General features: G+C 44.6%; 1 long non-coding RNA gene across 6 annotated transcripts, besides 2 other annotated features; it reads left to right on the top strand.

Moving 5' to 3' along the window:
• Window positions 1-837: 837 nt before the first annotated feature.
• On the top strand, window positions 838-15,077 carry LOC105378642 (uncharacterized). Of its 6 annotated transcripts, XR_007065731.1 has the most exons (6): window positions 838-945; window positions 3,945-4,060; window positions 6,685-6,826; window positions 13,524-13,642; window positions 13,885-13,948; window positions 14,888-15,077. It is a non-coding gene; the product is annotated as an uncharacterized LOC105378642 (long non-coding RNA). The 6 variants fall into 6 exon arrangements; XR_007065726.1 differs by lacking the exon at window positions 13,885-13,948; XR_007065729.1 differs by having other exon boundaries at window positions 13,885-15,077.
• Window positions 5,995-7,194: an enhancer, noted in NCBI's record as "CDK7 strongly-dependent group 2 enhancer chr1:35183501-35184700 (GRCh37/hg19 assembly coordinates)". NCBI's record gives its function as "activates an origin of replication core promoter dependent on BRD2, BRD4, P300/CBP, MED14 and CDK7 cofactors, with strong dependence on CDK7, by STARR-seq in HCT116 cells {active_cell/tissue: HCT116}" and the evidence as "EXISTENCE:reporter gene assay evidence [ECO:0000049][PMID:35650434]".
• Window positions 15,269-15,428: a silencer, noted in NCBI's record as "fragment chr1:35175267-35175426 (GRCh37/hg19 assembly coordinates)". NCBI's record gives its function as "represses an EF-1alpha promoter that drives an FKBP-Casp9 reporter gene in an ReSE screen in HepG2 liver carcinoma cells {active_cell/tissue: HepG2}" and the evidence as "EXISTENCE:reporter gene assay evidence [ECO:0000049][PMID:32094911]".

Raw genomic sequence — 21,331 nt, 5'->3', positions numbered from 1 at the left:
TGTTTACATGGTTTTGAATCCGGATTATTTAAAAACACACATGCAGCTAAGTCTAATTTTTATTCGTAGTCCCTTTCCCCTGTTCTTGCTCTTACTCCCAAAGAGAATTGTTTTTATTTGTTTTTGGTTTATCTTTCTATTGTTTCTTTTGGCAAGTTATATAATGCATTGTTATTTTCCTTAACTGTCTATAGATCGGTAAAAGGGCCAAAATGTTATTTGCTTTTACTTGTCCAAATTAAAAATCTTTTTATTGTAGTGTAATTGTGGTATAATGCATATACAGAAAAATACACATATCTTAAGTGTACAGTTCCATGAGTTGAAAGTTGGAAACTCTAAAAGTGAATGTATCCATCTGATCACCTCTCAGATTAAGAAAAAAAGTATTCCCAGTTCTCCACAAACATCCTGCATGGGTTACATTTTTATTAGATGTTTGGGCATCTTCTTTTTTGGAGTTCCTATGTCTTTGGGTAATTTTTCATTTGCATTATATCTGCCTTTTTACAACTGGTTTGTAGGGCTTCTTTATACGTTCTAGTTGTGTGTCTAATGTTGATTACAAATATTGCAATAGTCTTCTATTTTGTGGTTTTTATTTTACTCTCTCAGTGGTGTCCTTTGATAAACAGAAGTTCTTAATTTTTAAATAGTCTGGTTTATCCATCTTTTTCTATATAATTAATAATTTTTTGTTCCATTTAAGTAACTCTAACCCCAAAGGCGTAAGATCCTCTTATGTTTATGATCTAGAAGCTTTTTTGTTCTATCTTTAACGTGAGGATACTTGGAACAGACTTTTGTGTATGTTAAGGTAGGGGTCTGATTTTCATTTTTTCCATACAGATATCCCACAGACCCAGCACCATTTATTGAGAAGACAATCTCTTTCCCCTGCACTTCAGTCATTCCATTAAAAAAAACTGACTATCATTTTGAATGGTGAGTTTGATGTGCTAAATTATTTTTGTAAAATACATTAAAGTACACATGTATTTGTGAAAATAAAACATGTTTAATCTGCATTAAACCACCTAAAATCATCTTATGTACCACACTTTAGGAAACCTCTCAGTGGGATGTTGAGATAATAGCCTCAGATAAGGGAAGAAATTCTCAAAGTAAATTCTTAAAATTCCTTTAAGAATTCATTATATAAGAAGTTCATATTTGTTTTAGAAACAATAGAAAATACAGATAACTATAAAGAAGTAAATAAAAATCCCCTGTAACCCTCTTACCCAGAGGTAAATGCTCTTACCATTTTGGTATATTCTTTTCCAGCCATTTTTTCCCCCACACACACACTCACACACACACACACAACACACACACGTTGTATCTTATAAAAAAGGGGTAATGAAATACATACTATGTTGTATCCTTAATTTTTACTTAATATATTGTTAACACCTCTTCATGTCGATAAATCATATTTTTACATAATAATTTTATTAGACATCTAGGCATGATATGCCAACTGGCTCCCACTTTTTCCATTCTTTTAAACATAGATTCTTATTTCTTTCTTCCTTTCTCTAAGCCCTTGCTTTCCAGACCCTCATTTTAATAGTACTTACCACCAAGCTTAAGAAATAAAGCCAGGCTGGGCATGGTGGCAGGCACCTGTAATCCCAGCTACTCAGGAGACAGGAGACAGGAGAATCGCTTGAACCCAGGAGGTGGAGGTTGCAGTGAGCCAAGATCATGCCACTGTACTCCAGCCTGGGTGACAGAGCAAGACTCTGTCAAGAAAGAAAGAAAGAAAGAAAGAAGAAAGAAAGAAAGAAAGAAAGGAAGGAAGGAAGGAAGGAAGGAAGGGGAAGGGAGGGAAGGAAGGAAAGAAAGAAAGAAAGAAGGAAGGAAGGAAGGAAGGAAGAAAGGAAAGAAAGAGGCTTCCTTTGATTCCTCCTTATCTGATTCCATTTTCTTTCCTGACTCCTGAGTCACCATCATCTAGAGCTAGTGCTTCTAAATAATTTAACTTGCCATTTATGGTGTGCACTTTTACTATATTCAAGTATATTCATTAACAATATATAGTATTGCTTTGTATGTTTAAACGTATATGTAAACGACACCATACTGTACACAACCTTTTGCAGGATACTTTCTTTACTCAAAATTATGCTTCTCGGTTTTATCCATGTTGCTGTAGGTAACTTTCATTTATTCATTTTTAACCACGATGTAGTAGTATTCCCTTATATGAGTGTACCACAATTGAATCATTCATTTCCTTCGTTAGAAAAAATAAGGAATGATGCTCTCTTTCTCAGTAATCTGTAAGGGTTTCTTTAGTGTTCATACACAGGACCAGAACTGCAGGGTATGCAATTTGATTTTACTAGTTATTGCCTGCCCAGTTGTTTTCTAAAATGGTTGTAAATTTACAATCCCATCAGAAATGTATAAAATTTCCAATTTCTTTGAGTCTCAACCAAACTTTGATATTGTTACATTTATAAATTTTTTCCACCCAATTGGGGTGAAATGACATCTATATTAGCCAGAACTCAGAAAACCAGACACCACACAAGGTATTTCAAACAGAGTGACTTTAATACAGGAAATTGCCTACATAGATGTTGGAGAGCTGATAGGGCCAAAAGGGAACACAGAGGTAACTCAGAGATAATAACTGCAGGAAGCAGGTACCAACCTGAGGGCTAGAGGAATAAAAGAAGTTTGGGAACCAGGACCTAGGAGCTCAGAGTATGGGTCCTGCGGTCCTGCAGAGCTGGTGCTGAGACCTAGGAATGGTATGTGGCTGCTATTGGTATATGGAAGGATTGTGGTGAGGCTGGGTTTGGGAGTACATCAAGAAAGTAGGGGCTGGAGCCAACTGCTGCTGCTGGAGTGATGCTGGCAGGAAAGGAAGAAACAGGAACCAAGTCCCTTCTCTCCTCATCTTGCCTTCCAATCTTCCTCGAGTGCCTTTCGTTGTGGGAACCTAACAGGAAGCCAGCTGGTCCTGGAGTCTGGGAAGGGTTGTGTTCAGAGTCCTGGCCTCAGCAAGAGCAGAATACAAAAGGGTAGATGTGAGCTGAGAGACATTGGGTAAATAACCTGCATAGAATTGCACTGTGTGTATATTGCATCTCGGTTCTTTCCATTTTTATGTGTAGCTATTTTAAATGGTGCTTCACAAACATCCTTGCACATACGTTTTCCTTAGAACTTGTTTCCGAAAGTAGAATTGTAGAGTCAAAGAAAATGCATATTTTTAAGGCTTTTGGTCCAGGCTGACAAAATCACCAGTGAGTAGGTTTTGGAAGAAAGGGAGTCCCCCCACCACCCCACACAGTGTATTCCTGGAAACCACATCACAGAGCAGATGGTAATGGAGAAGATCATCTTTCTACGCTGGGGTGCTGTTACCTGGGAATTGCTTCCTGCCCAAGGAATGAGTACCAGGAGACAGCAGTTCTAACAACCCTATCTCAGAAAAAGAGAGCTACAGCCTCAAACTTCTGTGTCATTTATACTAGTTATATTATTCTTTGAATTTTATATCTATTACCCATTGACCACGGAAAAGCCACAGTGAATTTTAAAGTGTACCCACACAATTGAAGCACACAAAAATGTAATTCCACAGTATCACTCACGCAATCTACCACCAGTGATGTATCCTTCTGCTAAGTGCTCAGTATTAAATTAACTGTGGATTCGTTTGCTTAATTGGGCTTACAGGGGCCAGGAGTGTGTGTATGTGTGCAGTGAGTCTGGGCAGCTGGAAGGCAGAGGCTAGAGGGAGTGTAGAGAGGAGATAAAAGTCTGAGTTTAGGAGGGTGAAGAAAGTTGCTGTCAGTTGGCACAGTGGGAGCTCCCGAGGCATTTAGGGGAACAGAAAGTGCAGTGGAAAGAGGGATGCATGGGCGTGAAGGCCTGGGAATCCGTGGGGCAGTGCTGAAGAAACACCTCACCTGTATCACCAGATAGCTAAGAACTACTCCACCTGGCCCAGATTCTTTGGCGTGTGTCTCTGCTCAGCTCCGATGAATGCAGGAATCCCTAATCAGATGACTGCAATCACAAGACTCCCCTCCAGCAGGTAATCAAGAAGCCAGAGCCCCTGAACATTGGGCCAGGTATCCATCTCCAAGGGAGCTGTCCCTCCCACGGTCACCTTGGAAAAAAGCCCTGCAGAGGGACCTTGGCCTTGGCTGGGTATTGTGGGAAACGAAGGGTTGAAGTCTGAGCCTTGAAGAAAGCTTCTCATAATTTTTCCAGCTCTTGACACTTTCTGAAATGTGTCTGGGGCATTTGGGAGATGGCCCCCAAGCCGTATCCAGCCCTGACTATTCTCTGAATTGTCTCCTGGATGTCTCTTGGTATCTTCCTCTCACCAAGGCATACCTCCCATAAGGGCAAGAACTATGTCTGTTTGGCAAACCATAATATAACCAGAGTCCCATGCAGTGCTTAACACAGATACTCAAGACATATTGATTGGATGAAGGAATGGAGTTCTAATACAAAAATGTTAACTTTCCACTTGCAAACAGTTCCATCTCTGGGCTGCTTTGTCTGTCACTGATGTCATCATAGTCATTGTCAGATTCATTCTCCATCTTCCTCCTTCTCTCATCCAATTGGCCATGTTTATTCTATCACCACTCCAGTGCCCTAGCGTAGTCCTCTTTCTGCACTTTGTGCCATCCTTCAACTTCACATCTAAAACCCCCATCGGTTCCCTTTCACTTTCAGCATAAAATCCAAACTTCTTAGTTTGGCCTTCAAGGCCCACCATTGGTCTCCAGCATCCTTCTGTCTGCCTCATCCATTTCTCTCCTGCATGTGTCCTGATGCTGCCAACTGGTTTCCTCCTAACTGCTCAAATATATTCTGGATTTACCTGTTCTTGTATCTGGGCTCATCTCCCTGCCTGTAATCTCCTCTTTTCACGGGCCAATCCTGTTTGATGATTTCTCCTTCCACTGAACTGAGAATCAGATTGAAGTCACAACATGAGACCAGCTCTGCGTCATGGTAGGTGTCGGGAACTGGTGATGAAGCTGAGGCTCTGATACATGTAGTGATGGTCAAGGTCACACAGCTGGTAATAACAGCTGCCACTTATTGGCTGTCTTCTATGTTTTAGGTCCTCTTCTAGGTGTTTTACACACTTCCTTTCCAACGTGCTCAATACACTTGCAACATATCATTCAAGTAAGGATATAGCATTAAAAGATTCCACAACTGTGCCCATTGCCAGGCAGGACCATTGCAGGAAACTGGCTCAGTGATGGAGTAAGTTATGGCTGGAGTAAGGAGAGGATAGGATCTTGGAGTGCTGCTGAGGACACCAGGGGTTACCTTGTATAATAAATGCTCAGTTCCTGGGGAAAGCAAGGGAGAGGAAAAGAGAGATGCAATGAAAAAAATCCTCCATTTGTGTCGAATTATTTCTCTCCTGGAGGAAGAGGAGATAAAATCTGGAGGTGCAAATGGGGCATGGTTCTATCTATACACAAGACACACAATGTCTTTTTAAAGACATTAGTGCAGACTTCAATGTACTGCTTCTCAGGTGGGGCCTGGGATTCTTCATGTCTAACAAGCTTCCAGGTGATTCAGATGCTGCTGGGTCCTGCACTTTGGGTAGCAAAGCTGTAGGAAGGTTCCATCTTCCTGTGACTGGGGTCTAGGCTGATGTGTGACCAGGGCCTAGGGTCAGTCTACAATTGGGGAATTGCATCAGTCCAAAACTGGAGAATTGTGTGATTGACCATACTTTTGGTTTTGACCAACACTGCATCTGTCCTCCAACCTATAGCCACGAGTCATAATAAAAAAATCACACAAGAGTGAAGGAGAGAAAAGATATTTCCCCTGAAAGAGGAGGTGCAGAGCACATGGGGGAAAGATTCCCGTACTATCCGGGTTGGTTAGCTCCTTTTTTGTAAAGGTAATTTCTCCCTCTTCTTTTCTCACTCTCCATCCCCGCATTTTACATATGTTCTTAACAAAGAAATATATGGTTAGTGCCACATCTGGGAGTCTTGTCCACAAGGCCTGATGGCAATATATAATCAGTTTGGGAGAGGGGGTGGCACAGCATAAAGAAAGGAAATGGTTTCTCTAGACTAGGAAAGAAAAAAGGAAGAAAAGGAAACCAATATGTATTGAGCTCCTGCTATACACAAGGCACTCTACCAGATGTTTATATGTAAGCCAATCATTTCATCTTCCCAAGAATAAAATATAGTTCTTATCTTATTTCACAGATAAGGAAACTGAAGTCCATCAAGGCATCAAGTACCCATGGTTGCTTGAGTGTTAAAGCCAGGACTCCGTCTAGATCAGTAATCTCAAAATCCTTGCTGCCTCATGGGACCTAGTCAGATGAGTTCAGTTTGGGAAATAATGCATTTGAGGAGCCTGTGGAGTGGGGTGGGGAGGGGAAATACTCAGGTGGAGTGGTTGAGGTCTTAGAAGTCCCACGTGGTAGAGTGCAAAGAGAGAAGAGGCCACGGCAGAGACTGCTCTCTTCTTCTTCCTCAGTGTTCAGAATACCTGAGTTTTAGCTAGACACAGCCATTGGAATGAAGATTCTGCTTCTCATCCACCCACAGAGCTGGGTGTGGCTATGTGTTAAGTTGTGAGTAGTGGGAAGTGTGGGAGAGTGGTTCTCACCTACCTTTGTCCCTCCGTGCTCCCTTTTCCTTCCTGCAGGCTGGAATGAGGCTGTGAGGCTCCAGCAGCCGTTTTGTGCCACGAGGCAGTAGAAACCTGGGTTCCTGATGACTGTGGAGCTGCCGAACTAATCTGGACCTCCAGATTCCATACCTGCAAGACACATGAACATCTGTCTTATGTAAGCCACTATTACTTTTTTTGTTTGTTTTTTTTTTCCTGTATGGCAGAACATAATCTTAAGGAACACAAAGGCCAAGGGCATCTTTTCCATTCAGGGCTGCAGTTCTCAAACCCAGCCGCACTTCAGAATGCTCGGGCCTCCCAAAGACCAACACATTGAGACTTGCTGGAGGGCGTGGCTGCACATTTGTCGTTTGAAGCTCCCTAGGTGATTCTAGTGTGTAGGAATTGATCTAGGACTGAAAAGGATGTGAAGAGGGCATGTTCCTAAAGAGAGAAGAACCAGGAGAGTGAGCTGTGAAGGCCTGAGGAGGGAATTTGAGTTAAAAAACAGGCGGGCATCAGCACTGAATGCCTTAGTTGGAAGCTGGGGAGGGGGGAAGCCATGGAATTAGGTTATTGAGCTCACTGGTGACTGGGTGAGAGGCATGAGGTCAGGGTCCAGTTTGAAATGGGCTAAGGAGGGGTGAGTGCTTCATAAGAAGCCTGGTAGCCCATCAATGATACACTGGATAAAGAAAATGTGGCACATATACAACTTGGAATACTATGCAGCCATAAAAAAGAATGAGTTCATGTCCTTTGCAGGGACATGGATGAAGCTGGAAACCATCATTCTCAGCAAACTAACACAGGAACAGAAAACCAAACACTGCGTGTTCTCACTCATAAGTGGGAGGTGAACAATGAGAACAAATGGACACAGGGAGGGGAACATCACATACTGGGGCCTGTCGGGGGGTGGGGAGAAGGGAAGGGAGAGCATTAGGACAAATACGTAATGCATGTGGGACTTAAAACCTAGATGATGGGTTGATGACGGGTACAGCAAACCACCATGGCACATGTATACGTATGTAACAAACCTGCACGTTCAGCACATGTATCCCAGAACTTAAAGTAAAATTAAAAAAATAAAGAAGCCTGGTAGTGTAGGAAAGAGAGGTAGGCCACTAGCTTGATGGGACAGTGAGCGCATATTTATACTAATGACTAAATTTCCTTGAGTGATGAAGGGGCAGGCAGCGTGCTAAGCCTTGCCAGGCATCAGCATCTCATTTCACAGTGACCCTTCGTCTGAGTTAGTGGCTGTTATTTCCACTTCACAGATGTAGAGGCTGAAATACAGAGATGGAATGACTGGCTCAAGGTGAATACAGCTGGTAGGTGATGGAGCCTGAACTTGAATCCAGATCTAATTCCATCCTGGGAAGGCCACCTTTAGCCTGGAGGCACCTGGAGCCTGTTTGTTGCTGGAGGTCAAGGGAGAGGTTTTATGTGCAGATCCTCGAGGATGCAGAGGGCGTGGGAACTCAGCTGTAGGCTTGGGCTTGGATGAAAGGAGGGGCCCTTCCTCTCTCTGAGATGGAGGTGAGGATGTGGGGAGTTGTGGAGAGGAGGGAAACTGGGGCCCTCCTGTAGCACCTCCATCTTTCCAGGAGCCAAAGCAGGGTCATGGCAGGGCACAGGGGCAGTAGGGACTGATGAAAGCTTGAACAGCAGGAATTTGTTCTCTGCCAGAGGGCAGGAGAGTTGGCCTATCTCTAGTATTGTACTGAGGCCATGGGACCTTGTGATAGAAGCCTGATTCCAGGCTCTGATAGTGCTAAGCCAAGCAGAGCTGATTATTAAATATCCAAGGACTCCTCTTCTGATAGAGACATAGGTGAGTTCTCTCCCATCCCCTGCCTCCTATCCCCAGGACAGCCTCCTAACAGGATTCTGCTGTGGCTGCAAATGAATTTGCTGTGATCCCAAACTCTTTGATTCCAGCAGCCATCCCTGGAGAGGATCCCTGGAGAGGAGCAAACCCAGGCCATCCGGATTTTCTGCATGGGAGACCTGGCTGACCGCTGCCTGGGCTGCTTTCAAGTCTCACCGAATTATGAAGTCAACTACTGGGTGTTTAGAATGTCTCAAGTTCAAAGACTAGCAGGCTAGAAGCAGACATCTGAGAGAACTTCGGGCACCTTAGCAGGAGGAATATTAAGATGTGGCATGCTGGGCTTATCGGGAGACTGGATAGGGATCAGAAGGAATACATTTCTATTCTGCGAGCTGCAGAGCTCAGGAGTCGTTCTGATATCAGGCCCATTGGTGGGTTTAGCTTTGGTGCAAGTTTCTTGGCCATGGAGCTTAACTAGGAGGAAGTGAATTGCAATCATTTTGGCCTGTGCTCCTTAGAGTCCCAGGGATCAATGGGAGACGAGTGACTGGGTGGGCGGGTAGAGCAAGGAGAACAGGGTGCAGGAGACACTGCCACTTATTTATTTGTTTTTCCTACAAATATTTATTGAGCCTCTAAGTATGTACCAGGCACATTCCAGAAGAGGGACTCAGAGGTCGTTGGAAGTGTATGCCAGGAACCACTGAGCAAGGCCCTTGTCTCTCTTTGTGGGCCTTCTTCAGACACTTCCCCCTCATACACGGGATCTGGGATCATTAAACATCTCATTGTCCTTTGGATTCACCAGCTTTTGAAAGTGCTGCTCCTGCTGGAAAAGCCCTCGCTTCCACTCTTCACCTAGAAAACTTCTATTCATTCATTAAGGCCTGACGTCACGTTTTCTGGGAAGTCTTCCTTGCTTATCCCCTGACAAATTTGATTTTTTGTCAAATTTGTATTATTTATATCTTTGTGTTATTAAATTTCCATCACATTTCAGAGTTTCTGAGTGTTTAAATAACTTAACCTAAGTTCACACAGCTAGTTAGAGTCTCAGCTAGGATTTGAACTTGGAACTTCCTGACACCAAAGCCAATACACTTAACCACTAGATCGCATGGCCACTGAAGTTAGTGGTTCCTTCTCTAGGCTCCCAGGGCCCCAGAGTTTTGTCATGGAACTCATCATTGTTGATTGTCATTATTCATTTGCTGGTGAGATTTCCAGGGGTACGGGCTATATGGAGTCACTATGATGACTCAACATAGAATCGACAGCCCAGATGCTGGTGGGATGATAAGAAAGGCTATTAATGTGCCCAGTACTGGGCTAACCTCTCCATATTCATTGTATCATTGATTACTCATGACAATCCATGAGACAGTCATTACTATTCTTCCCATGTCATATTTGGAACAACTGAGGCTTAGAGAGCTGAAACAATATGTCCAACTCCCACAGCTAGAAGAGGCAGACCTGGGGTTCAAACTCAGGTCTGGCTTATTCCAGAGCCCATGCTTTTAACTGCTATATCACACTCCTTCTCCTCGACGTGTTCTCTGAAACCCTGTAGTGGTGCTGGGGTACAGAGACAAGTGTCACCAAGCTCCTACCTTCAAGGAGCTCACAGTCAAGTGGAGAAGTCAGGCATCCCGGCATCCCAGGCATCCCTGATTATCCTGGTATGAACAGATAATCACAACACAAGCTATAAATGCAGGTAGCCTGGAGAAAGGAGTAAATAATTAGTCAAACAGAGGGAGTGCTAGGGAAAGATTTCAAAGCAGTGGGGATACCTGAACAGGGTTTTGAAAGTTAAATAAGAGTCTTCCAGGAGACAAGGAGGTAGAAGGACACCAGACATACAGAGCAGCATACACGAAGGGAGGGAGGGAAGGAGAGAGAGAGAGAGAGCTGCTGGGTGGTAGGGAAACTCCAAGTGATTAGAAATTTCACCCTTCCTGTCTCTCCTTCCGCAGCTGACTCTGCTAGGAAATGTGGAAAGCTGCAGCTGCAGACAGCTGGCTGTGCCTGCTTCACTGGAGTTCTCAGCTCTCTTACACCTGTCTGTTTAGAAAGGAGCAGACAGGCTGTGAAGCTCTGCAGGATTCTTTTCAGTGCTGGGGCAGAAGGAGAAATGGTGGGGACAGCCACTCTGGGCATCAGAACCGAATACCTGCTCCCCACTCCTCTCAGTTGCACAGCCCAGCTCCTGGCTTCACTGCAGTGGGAAGGGAGATGAAGGACTCTTGAACTCAGAATATGACTGACCAAGACCCTTACAGCTGGGGTGGAGGTAGGGGGCTGAAGGCAGGTTCTGGAGGTGGAGATTGAGTCTTCCAGTTGTTTTCCTGGCAACAGCGGGAACAATAGATTCTAGGTTCTGGCTGGCTCAGGAGTTGGGGTGTCTGACCTGTCTTTCCTCAGTCCCTTCTGCTATAGATACTGATAGTCCTCTGCCACCAGGCTCTGCCTACCAAGTCCCTGAGCTCTTCCTGACCTAGCCTGGCTCTGAGAGGGGAGCCAGCATGGCAGAGGGTGGGCCTGGTACCAGTTGTGTCTCCCTGAATACAGGATCTGAGAGCTGGGGAGCTATGGACACCCAGAGCCCATCAGCCTGGTCTCTCCCCTCACTGTAGGTTCCCAGGCCAGTGGCTGGTTCCTGATTTTACCTAGTCTTCTGCACTGGGATAAGAACCTGACATCCAGCTTCCCCTTTGGGAGTAAGGCCTCTTCCACGGGCTGCTCCTGGTCTGTGTTTTCCACTGCAGTCTGGGAGCCTACTTCCCCCATGAAGGCCCTAACCCCACCCATGAAGACACTACATGAATTACTGTCCAGACTGGACTCCAGATGCAGCCTCGGATTAGACCCAATTTGGCCTCATCTCCTTGGAGCTGTCTAGTAATTTGGAATACACGCTGCTCCCTACTTAGCCACCTGCAAAGCAGGGTCCATCTCCCAGCCTGGTTCTGCCTTTTCCTCAGTCTTATATGTGTGTGTCTGAGTACATGTGTCAGTCAGTGATCATGCCAGGACGGCCAGCTGGACTTGTGTCAGCATGCACATATGTTCCTTGAGGCTGTCCCGTGCAGGCGTGCACTGAGTTCTCAGCCCAGTTCTGAAGCGTGTTTGTGAATATGCCCAGATACATCATGAACATTGCTGGGATGCTAGGAGGGGGATCAGTATGAATGACATTGCATGTCCTCAAGTACACAGGTATGTGTCTACGCACACGCACAAACCTCTCTAATATGTATGTATGCACGTGTACATGTGTATAATATGGCTAAGTGTGTGTCTGGGAGTATTTGACCATGTCTGATGTGAATCTTCTGCCCATTCTGAAAGGAAAGGGGACATGGGCCCACTCTCCCTTTTTGTAGTTACACTGTGGTCAGGGCTGGCTTGTGACAGAGGGAGTCAAGGTGAGTGCCCCTCTGAACTTCTGGGATCTTTCTGCCTAACATTCTGAGACTTCCCCAGCTGTTCCCTAGTCCTGCAGCCTTGGCTGTCAGTACTTCAAGATTATCTGGCCAGGCGTGGTGGCTCATGCCTGTAATCCCAGCATTTTGGGAGGCCGAGGCGGGCAGATCATTTGAAGTCAGGAGTTTGAGACCAGGCCAACATGGTGAGACCCCATCTCTACTAAAAATAAAAAAATTAGCCAGGTGTACTGGCACGTGCCTGTAATCCCAGCTACTTGGGAGGCTGAGGCAGGAGAATCACTTGAATCCAGGAGACAGAGGCTGAAGTGAGTCGAGATTGCACCACTGCACTCCAGCCTGGGTGACAGAGTGACACTTGGTCTCAAAAACAAACGAACAAACAACAAACAAACAAAAAAAAAAAAAAAAAAAGAAAAGAAAAAGATTATCTGGTGCCTTGGCCCAGTCCCCACCCTTCACTTTGGAAAGGGTGTACCTGCAAAAGGTACAAGAGGAAGTCCACACCCCCACATTTAGTCTGGCAATGATGCCAACTATTCAGGACTCGCCTACTGTGGCCTGTGTAGGTCCTCCTCCTCTCCTGCTCATGTCCAGGCCATTGTCTTTAGTGGGACAGGGGGGCCTGAGGGAGGAGCTTCTGACCTGGCTGTTCTGGAGGCCTGGGCTTGCCAGAGGCCTTCAGCTTTGGCAGAGGACTCCGGGCTGTTTGGAGGCACTCCCAAGGCCCCTGTGCTGTGTCAGGGGCAGGAGGTGATGGTGGGGGGTGGGTAGTACGTCCAGAGCTTCCCCTTCCCAACAAATCTGTGGATGGGCAGGGGGTACACTCATGGGGAAATTACCAATTTAAATAGGAAATGCAAGCAATTTGGATAGAACCCCAGGACTGCAGTTTGAGAGCTCATTCTCTGCCCCGTGGGGGTTTGATTACAACCAACTTGGCTGATAACGTGCAGAGAGGGCCAGAAAAATGGTTTCCAAGGAAACTCAGATCTTTCTAAGCCCCTTCTGGCTCAGGTGGGAGCCAGGGCTGGCCGGGAAAGCAGAGGCTGTGCTGAGTACCATGGTGCTCAATTCCCGGTGAGCCCTCTGCCCACTCTCTGCCTGCTTCTGTGCTTATCCCTGCTTCCCCAAACCTGGCCTGCACTTTCATTCCTGTTTACAACAGTTGTTTCTCTCTTTGTCTCTGCTCCCTTTGTCTTCTTATTTATCTCAGCTGATGTCTGCACTTGGGAAAGTTGGCAAACATTAAAAAAAAAAATTCTAATTTTTTTCTTATTAATGGCGACTATTCATTCAACACCTACTCTGTTCCAGAAATGCCACAGGATTTAGTTCTATTATTTCCATTTTCACAGCAACCATATGGTAGACAGGATACTATGTGTTCATCAAATCTTTTTTCTTCCTGGAACTACATTTCCCAGCATGCCTTGCTGTAAGGTTGAATCATGTGACTGAGTGCTGGTCAATGGAATGTGGGTAGGAGTAATATATGCCACTTTTGTGGCTGCCCGGCCCCCCCTAAATATCACGAACAATCTTCTACACATACTCATTTACTCTTTTTTTTTTTGTAGGCCGTGGAAACAGAAATCTAGTGGAGGATTCTGATCCCTAGGGAATGTAGGGCCACTGGACCCAATTGCCCTATAATCTTGTGTGGTATTTCCCTGCCCCTGCTCAACTTCATTGGATGGTAATGTTACATTTGTTAAGCCACTAAGGTTTTGGGGGTTGTTTATTAGGCAGTTGTCTAGCCTGATAACACAAGCCTGAAAGAAGGGCATTCTTATCCCTATTTTTCCCTGGGGGAAATGGGCTCAGAGATACTAAGTAACTTGCTAAAGTCACACAGCAAGTAAGTGGCAAATCCAGATTTGAGCTCAGGTTATGTCTTTTCCACTAACCCAGGCTAACAGGATGATTGTTCCTGCTTAGGTATTGCCTTGGTCTTTGTTTCTTGAGGAGTCACAGAAAGAAAGACACAGACCAGGACTGGGAGGTAGGGAAGGAGGGAGCAGCTGGGGGGCAGGTGTGTAGTGGTGCATCATAGCAGCAAAGGGAGGTAAAGGTTCTAGGAAGGGGTGGTCAATTGTGTCTAATGAGATCCAGCCAGGTGGAGGAGGAAGAGGGCTGGGAAGAGCCCATTAAATTTAATGACCTCAGTGACAGTTTTATCTGAGTGATGGGGCAGATGCCAGCTTGCAGAAGGTTTGGGAACAAGTCAGTGATTATGTTGGTTAAGGGAAGGAGAGAGGAAAAAAAGAGAGATAGCTTTAAGTGGAAGCCAGGCCAAAGGAAAGCATTTTGAGAAGGAAATCAGTGGTTAGGGAGAGGTTAAAAATAAGAAAGGGAATCATGACCTACATAATGCAAGGCATCTGAATGTGATGATTTCCTCCTTTAGGCTTGGTTCTGGTGTGCATTTCCAGGGCTAAGCTGACTGGCCAGGAAGCAGGGAGCAAAGGGGGTTGGACACAGCCAGCAAATCACGCAGCATTAACTGGGCTGCGAGGCCGGATCCTGAGTGGGCAAGCAGGTGGCAGCTGAAGTATTGTGAATCGAGAGCCTGAAATTCTTCAGGATCTTCTAAGATTATCCATTTGATTGGGTCATGGAATTAATGTGGATAAGCCTAGTTGATCAACCTGAGTAGAGGGTGCTGTCACCTGCACAACACCTACCACAACTTCCTAGAACCTAGTGGCCGAGCTTGTTAAGTGTCCCCAAATGCCCATTCTCTCCTTCCTTTTAGTCAAGGAGCCATGAATTTTAGGGAAGAACATGATCATTTAGCTCAGGACCACAGTTCCCAGACTCCCTGCAGCTGGATGTGGATGTCTACTCAGTTCTTGCTAAAACGATGTGTGCAATTTCCAGAGCACATCCTTATATGGAAGTTATTTGCAGTGAACATTGTCTGTTTCCTCCTTTCAATGAGGTGGAACTGGAAGTGCTGGAGATGAGCTGCTGTGGCTGTATGGACAAAGGCAAGATCCTATGGGATGGCCAAGCAACCAGACAGAAGAACTCTTGAGACCTTGAGGAAAAGAACTGCCCGCAACTGCTCTTGACACTCTCTCCCTCTGGCCTGTTGTGTGGGAGAGAAATAAACTTCTATTTTATTCAAACCACTGGATTTATGGGTCTCATTGGTACAGCAGCTTGTCCTGCACCTTAATTAATATTCCTCCTACCCCTCTCCCTGTCAACATCTCTTTCTATAGTGTTCTCCTTCATTCAGCAGTCGACCCATCCCCCTCTCTCATTTCTTCCCTTCTTTCTCTTCTCTCCCCACTTCCATGGCAATATTCTTTGAGTCTCCACCCCACATCTAGACCATCTTCTCTTTCCTATTCCGTTTCTTCTGTAGAGCAATTTATGCCTACCAACACTAGCGCTCTCCAGGGTCCTGGCCTTGGCCCTGCACTGCTTTCCCCTCCACGCTGTACGTGCTTTCTTGAGTCAGTCTCATCTACTTTCTCAGTTTAAATTCTGCCTGATGACATCAGACCTGTTTCTCCCACTTGACTTCTTGGGTCACCTCAGCTCCATTCAACATATCTGTGTCAGTTAGGATGCTCGTGGCTGTACATGGCAGAAAACCCCACTCAAAATGTCTTAAACAATAAGGAAATTTATTGGCTCATATAAAAGAAGGGGACAGGTTGACCTTCTGGATGGCTTGATCCAATGGTTCAATGAATTCATTGAGGGTCCAAGTTTTTCTATCTTTCCATTATATTCTTCTTCTAGAATGGCCTTATCTCTTGAATTGGAAGATCACTGTCAGTCCTAATCAGGACTGTTTGTTTTCTGTTCTCAGCAGAGAGCTCCTCTCCCACAGTTATTGAAGACAGATGCTTTTCTTTGGTCTGAATGAATCAACTTATGGCCCCAACACCAATAAAGACACAAGGGAATAATATGTGCTTATTGGCTTAGACTTCTACTCCAACCAGTTATAAGCAAGGGGGATTATTACGGGATGGGTTGTCATGATTGGGTTACACGGGTCAAGGCCCATCCTGGATCTGGAGTGATTCCTCACATCGCATTTCTGGGACAGGTGGCAGAAGGCCTGAATGGATGTTGTGCATTGATTACAATGTCAATGTCAATATCAAAATCTAAATTCATCCTGTATGCTCATTCCCCACAACCCAGACCTCCTCTTGTCTCTTCTATTTCAGCACATGCTCCCACCATGAACTCAGCTACTTTAACCAGAAACTAGAGTCAGCCTTGAAGTTTTCTTTTTGACCCTCTCAATGATTACTCAGTTATTCAGTATTTTTCTCATTTGTAGCCCCCTCTTCTATCTGCTCTCCCCAATCTAACAGCTTTTTAATTGGTGTTCTTTCTTCAATCCCAGTAATTTTCAATCTACTCTCCCTGCTGCTTCTAGAATGAGCTTTTGAAAATACAAATATGATCCTTTTTGTCAACCCTTTGCTTATACCCTTCATTGGCTTCATATCATTTACACGATAAAATCTGACCTCTCCCTAGGTAGCTGGGGGGTAAGTAGGAATTAAAATGATTTATCTTGGCTACAAAAGCAGCACAGCTAATCCTGATGCATAGTAATGTCAGTAAATATTTGTTGCACTAAACAGAATGCTGCGTGGTGTGTACATGTGTGTACAAGGGCCTGATGAGAGAGTGAGTGATTGGCATGAAGGGAGAGTTGACACGAGGTAGCCTGAAGTTTGACAAAGCTCAGAATTCATACTGGCATGGTAGGTTGGTCTGTTTGTTTTTAATTGTAGTGTGGTGCTTAGGAGCTTTGGTTTAGAAGTTACGCAGCTGGGGTTGGGTTTGAATCCTGACGTCATTCACTGCCACCTTGGGCAAGTTGTTGAACTCTCCAGCATCAGCATCTTCATTTTCTCTGCAAATGAAGAGAATACTATTACCCAAATCCAAGATTTCTTGTGAGAATTTGCTGAGGTGATTCTCAAAAAGCACTCAGTATGTGGTGAATATGCAATTAATGTTGGTTGTTATTGTTATTTCTTAATTGAAACGTAACATAAATTGTAGACATGCTCCATATAATGATATTTTGGTCAATGTCGGACCATATATATGACAGTGGTCTCATAAGATGATAATGGAGTTTATACAGAAACTTGATATATGGCACTTGATATTGGCATTGCAGATCAAGTAGGGGGAAATGATTGATATTCTGTAATGGTGCTGGGACATTTAGTTTTCCATATGATAAATATACATATAAATAAAAATATATATACCCTCTAGGTTTGTGTAAGTACACTCTATGATGTTCACGCAATGACAAAATTGCCTAACGACACATTTCTCAGAATGTATCCCCATCGTTAGGTGACACATGGTTGTACTAATATTTAAAACGATTAAGAGACGTTTTATTAGTACAAACTTCTCCTATAAGAGGATGAATTACATAATATTTCCTTTCACACATGAACACAAATTTTTCTATTGATTTTCTTCACTGCATTAAAATTTGGAGTGGGATGTCTTTAAGTGCGAATATTTTTACATTACTTTTTAATTTTTAAAGTTTTTGAATTTTTTTTTTTTTTTTTTTTTTTGAGACAGAGTCTCACTCTGTTGCCCAGGCTGGAGTGCAATGGCTTGATCTCGGCTCACTGCAACTTCTGCCTCCCAGGTTCAAGCAATTCTCCTGGGTTCAGCCTCCCGAGTAGCTGGGACTACAGGCGTGTGCCACCACACTCAGCTAATTTTTTTGTATTTTTAGTAGAGATGGGGTTTCACCATGTTGCCCAGGCTGGTATCGAACTCCTGAGCTCAAGTGATCCACCAACCTCGGCCTCCCAAAGTGCTGGGATTATAGGCCTGAGCCACCGCGCCCCACCATTACTTTTTAAGTAGTTAAAAATTCCTAAAAATGAAATTCAAACCAAATGTTTAGGGACCTCTTGAAACATTTCTGAGGAAGGCTGTGTTCCATGGGACATAATTTAAAAGCCGTGGATCTAGCCCTGCACAGTACAATACTAGCTATGTGTGGCTATTGGGCGACTGACATTGGCCAGCCCAAACTGAGAGGTGCTGTAAATGTACAATACACATGAGACTCTGAAGACTTAGTACAAAAAAGGAATGTAAAATCTCATTAATATGTTTTCATATTAATTACCTGTTGAAATAATGTTTGATATATATTGAGTTAAATAAATATATTATTAATATTAATTTTACCTGTTCCTTTTTACCTTTTTAAATGCGGCTACTAGAAAATGTACAACATAGGCTGGGCGCAGTGGCTCACGCCTGTAATCCCAGCACTTTGGGAGGCCGAGGCGGGTGGATCCTGAGGTTAGGAGTTCCAGACCAGCCTGGCCAAGACGGTGAAACCCCGTCTCTACTAAAAAATACAAAAATTAGCTGGGCATGGTGGCAGGCTCCTGTAATCCCAGCTACTTGGGAGGCTGAGGCAGGAGAATTGCTTGAACCCGGGAGGCAGGTTTGCAGAGAGCCAAGATTGTGCCACTGCACTCTAGCCTGGGCGACAGAGCAAGACTCCATCTCAAAAAAAAAAAAAAAAAGAAAATGTACAACATGATATATGTGGCTTGTATTATATTTCTATGTATTTCTAACAGGGCTGATCTAGACTTCCTCCAGCCCTACCTCCTTCTTGCCTCTGGATTCACTGCCTCTATGTTCTGCTTTGCTCTCCTTAACTCCTTTGGAAGATCTCCAACATCCACTTTTTGCCCCGAACGTCTTGTGAAAGACCTGTGGCCAGACGTTCTGCACAGTTCTGCTCTGGCACCTGTGAATTCTCATTTAGAACTTCTTTGGTCCATTCTGCCACCTCCTGTGGGTGGAATTGAGACTCAGGAGCACAGCCTGATGTCCCTAGAGACTTCATTAGGGCCAGTTCCTGTGTGTGGAACTCAGCAGAGCCTTTGGCTGAGCAGGGGCAGCCGGGTGCAGGGCAAAGTATACACTTTCTGTGACCCTGGGGGATGCTACTTCTCCAAACACCTGCTCCTGGATTTCTGCACTGTGGTAATTATCAGTGTAACAGCGAACAATGGTGCAAACACAGGCTTTGGAGCTAGAGGTTCTGATCCCAGCTCCACCTTACAAGCTCTGCAACACTAGGCTTGTTTGTTGATCTTTTTGCATCTCGGTTTCCTCTTCTGTGAAATGGGAGCAATACAAAGCTGTGAGAATTATTGATAGGCTTTAAGAGGGCATGCATATAAACTGCCTAGCCTGGCATATGTGCAGACCCTCAGTGGATCTGACTTCACTTCCTCTCCCGAAATCCATCTCCACACTGGGTGAAGAGTAAGTTTGGTAAAGGAGATGAAGAGAACAGGGAGATGGAAAGGGCTCAGAACAGAAAGGCTGAGGGCACCAAAGGAAAACTTCCTGACTGTCCATTTTTGTCTAGGGCTAGCCCTGAGGGAAGAGACACGAGTGGGACTGCTGGGAGCTCTGGGTTAATGAAGAACTGGAGCCCACTCCACTGCTGTCACCATTGATTTTTCGTTCCAGGCAGCTTGCAAGCTGCCCCAGGAATCAATGTCGGAAGGTGAAAACAAATTTCTAAAATTAGCCCGGAATACACTGCAAGAAAAACCTTTTGTGCAACAAATTGTAATGAAGCTAATATCTGAGGAAGGTGTCATAACAAGGAGTTCAGGGGACAGGCAGCACATCCAGCACTCTCTGCTTCACCACAGGGGACTCAGTCCCCAGGGGTACTGATCCTATCCACCGGGAAAGACATACAACTCGTCACCACACAGACACATGCACAGCGCATTCCAGCACCTGTGAGTCCTATTATGCAGCCATTAAACCAGCAAGAAAGGACAGCCAGGCTAAGTGCTAATTTTGGGATGGTGTGGAGGGAGGGACACACATTTGTACTCTGCTGGTGGCACTGGAAAGTGTTCCATCTTGCCAGAAGGCTCTTATCTATGGGCAGTAAGTGCTGGAAAACCATTTAGATTTTTGGCCAGGTTACTCTGCTGAGCAGAGTCAGATGTGACCATTTGTGCTGGGTTAGGAATCCCAAACATGACAGTTTTCTGCTTGCTTTTCATGATGATGTGTCTGCGGTAAACCTTACTATCTGAAGTGAGCACCCTCACAGAAGCCCAAATGCCTGAGTGTCTTATTTCGCAGTCTTCCCACATCCTCCTGCCAGCATAAGCTATAAGAAGAAAGGAAATAAACAATGAATTCCAGGAGAATCATTTTGTGCCAGGAGACCCTCACCTGGGACCCATCTCCAAGACTGTGGAATTGTAGCAGGGGAGTTTCAGGAAGGGTGTGTGAAGGGGGAGGACATTTATTCTGGCTTTTTGTGACTCATGGATGACATAAATGAGCTGAAGACAAGCCTATGGATTTCCCATCCTCAGAAGTCGTTGGGATGTTTTAGTACAACTAAGCATCTGAGTAAGAAGGCTCTTGGTCTCTTGTCCTCTTGCAGTGGGACCGAGACATCATTACAATCCCTAGCAGCTGGAAAAACTTGAGTTTAAGGGCCCAAATCTGCCAGAGGAGATAGTCAACAACTGGAGGAAGACATCCCACAATCTCCTTTTGCAAAGCTGACTCCAAGGAAATAACCAAGAGGGAAAACAAATATTTGCAATACCCATGTTTTTAGCTGCATACTTTTGTAGGTGCAAAATATTGGAAACAATCAAATGTGCCACTTCTGGGGCTTGGTTAAGTGGCATAGTGGGATCATGGGGTGCTATGTGGGGGCTCAGGGTGAAGCAACTAGGGTGAGATGTTATGGGCTGAAAGGGACACAGAGTCATTTGCCCACTGGGACTGTAACTGGGTTAAATGCAGGCACAGACATGAGATGAGACATGATGCATTGTAAGTGAATAGATGCACAAAGCAGACGGAATCAAGTAGGAAGAGCGGATTTATTTATGTGTGTACTGTTTTGTTGTTAGTAAAACCATGCTTATTGTACCTTCAAGAAAGAAAGAAAGAAAGTAACCTGAGTCCATAAGGCATCTGCAATTTGCTGTGATTCCTGCCTCTCCTCCTTCTAAATAAACATTCACTTCTGTATTTAAAAAGAGTCGTGATAAAAAAGAGAGTTCATCGACATTAACTATAAAATTCACCAAGATCACAGACCAAGTTCTAACAGGGCCCTTAGGTGTAATTTGGTCTAACCTTTCATCTCACTCAATTCAACAGCATCTACGGTCAAGCATCTACCACAATCTAGGTCATGTGCAAAGGACCTGGGGAAAAATGTTGAGCAAACCCAGAGTCCTGACCCTCATGGTCTTCAAGGTTTAGGGTCTTTAAGGCTTAGGTCTTCAATGTTTCAATGTACGATCCCTTCTACATTGCTTCTCATAAACAGTGGTCA

Source organism: Homo sapiens, chromosome 1, assembly GCF_000001405.40.
Source record: "Homo sapiens chromosome 1, GRCh38.p14 Primary Assembly".
NCBI lineage: Eukaryota > Metazoa > Chordata > Mammalia > Primates > Hominidae > Homo > Homo sapiens.
This window is presented reverse-complemented; position numbering and strand designations above follow the sequence as displayed.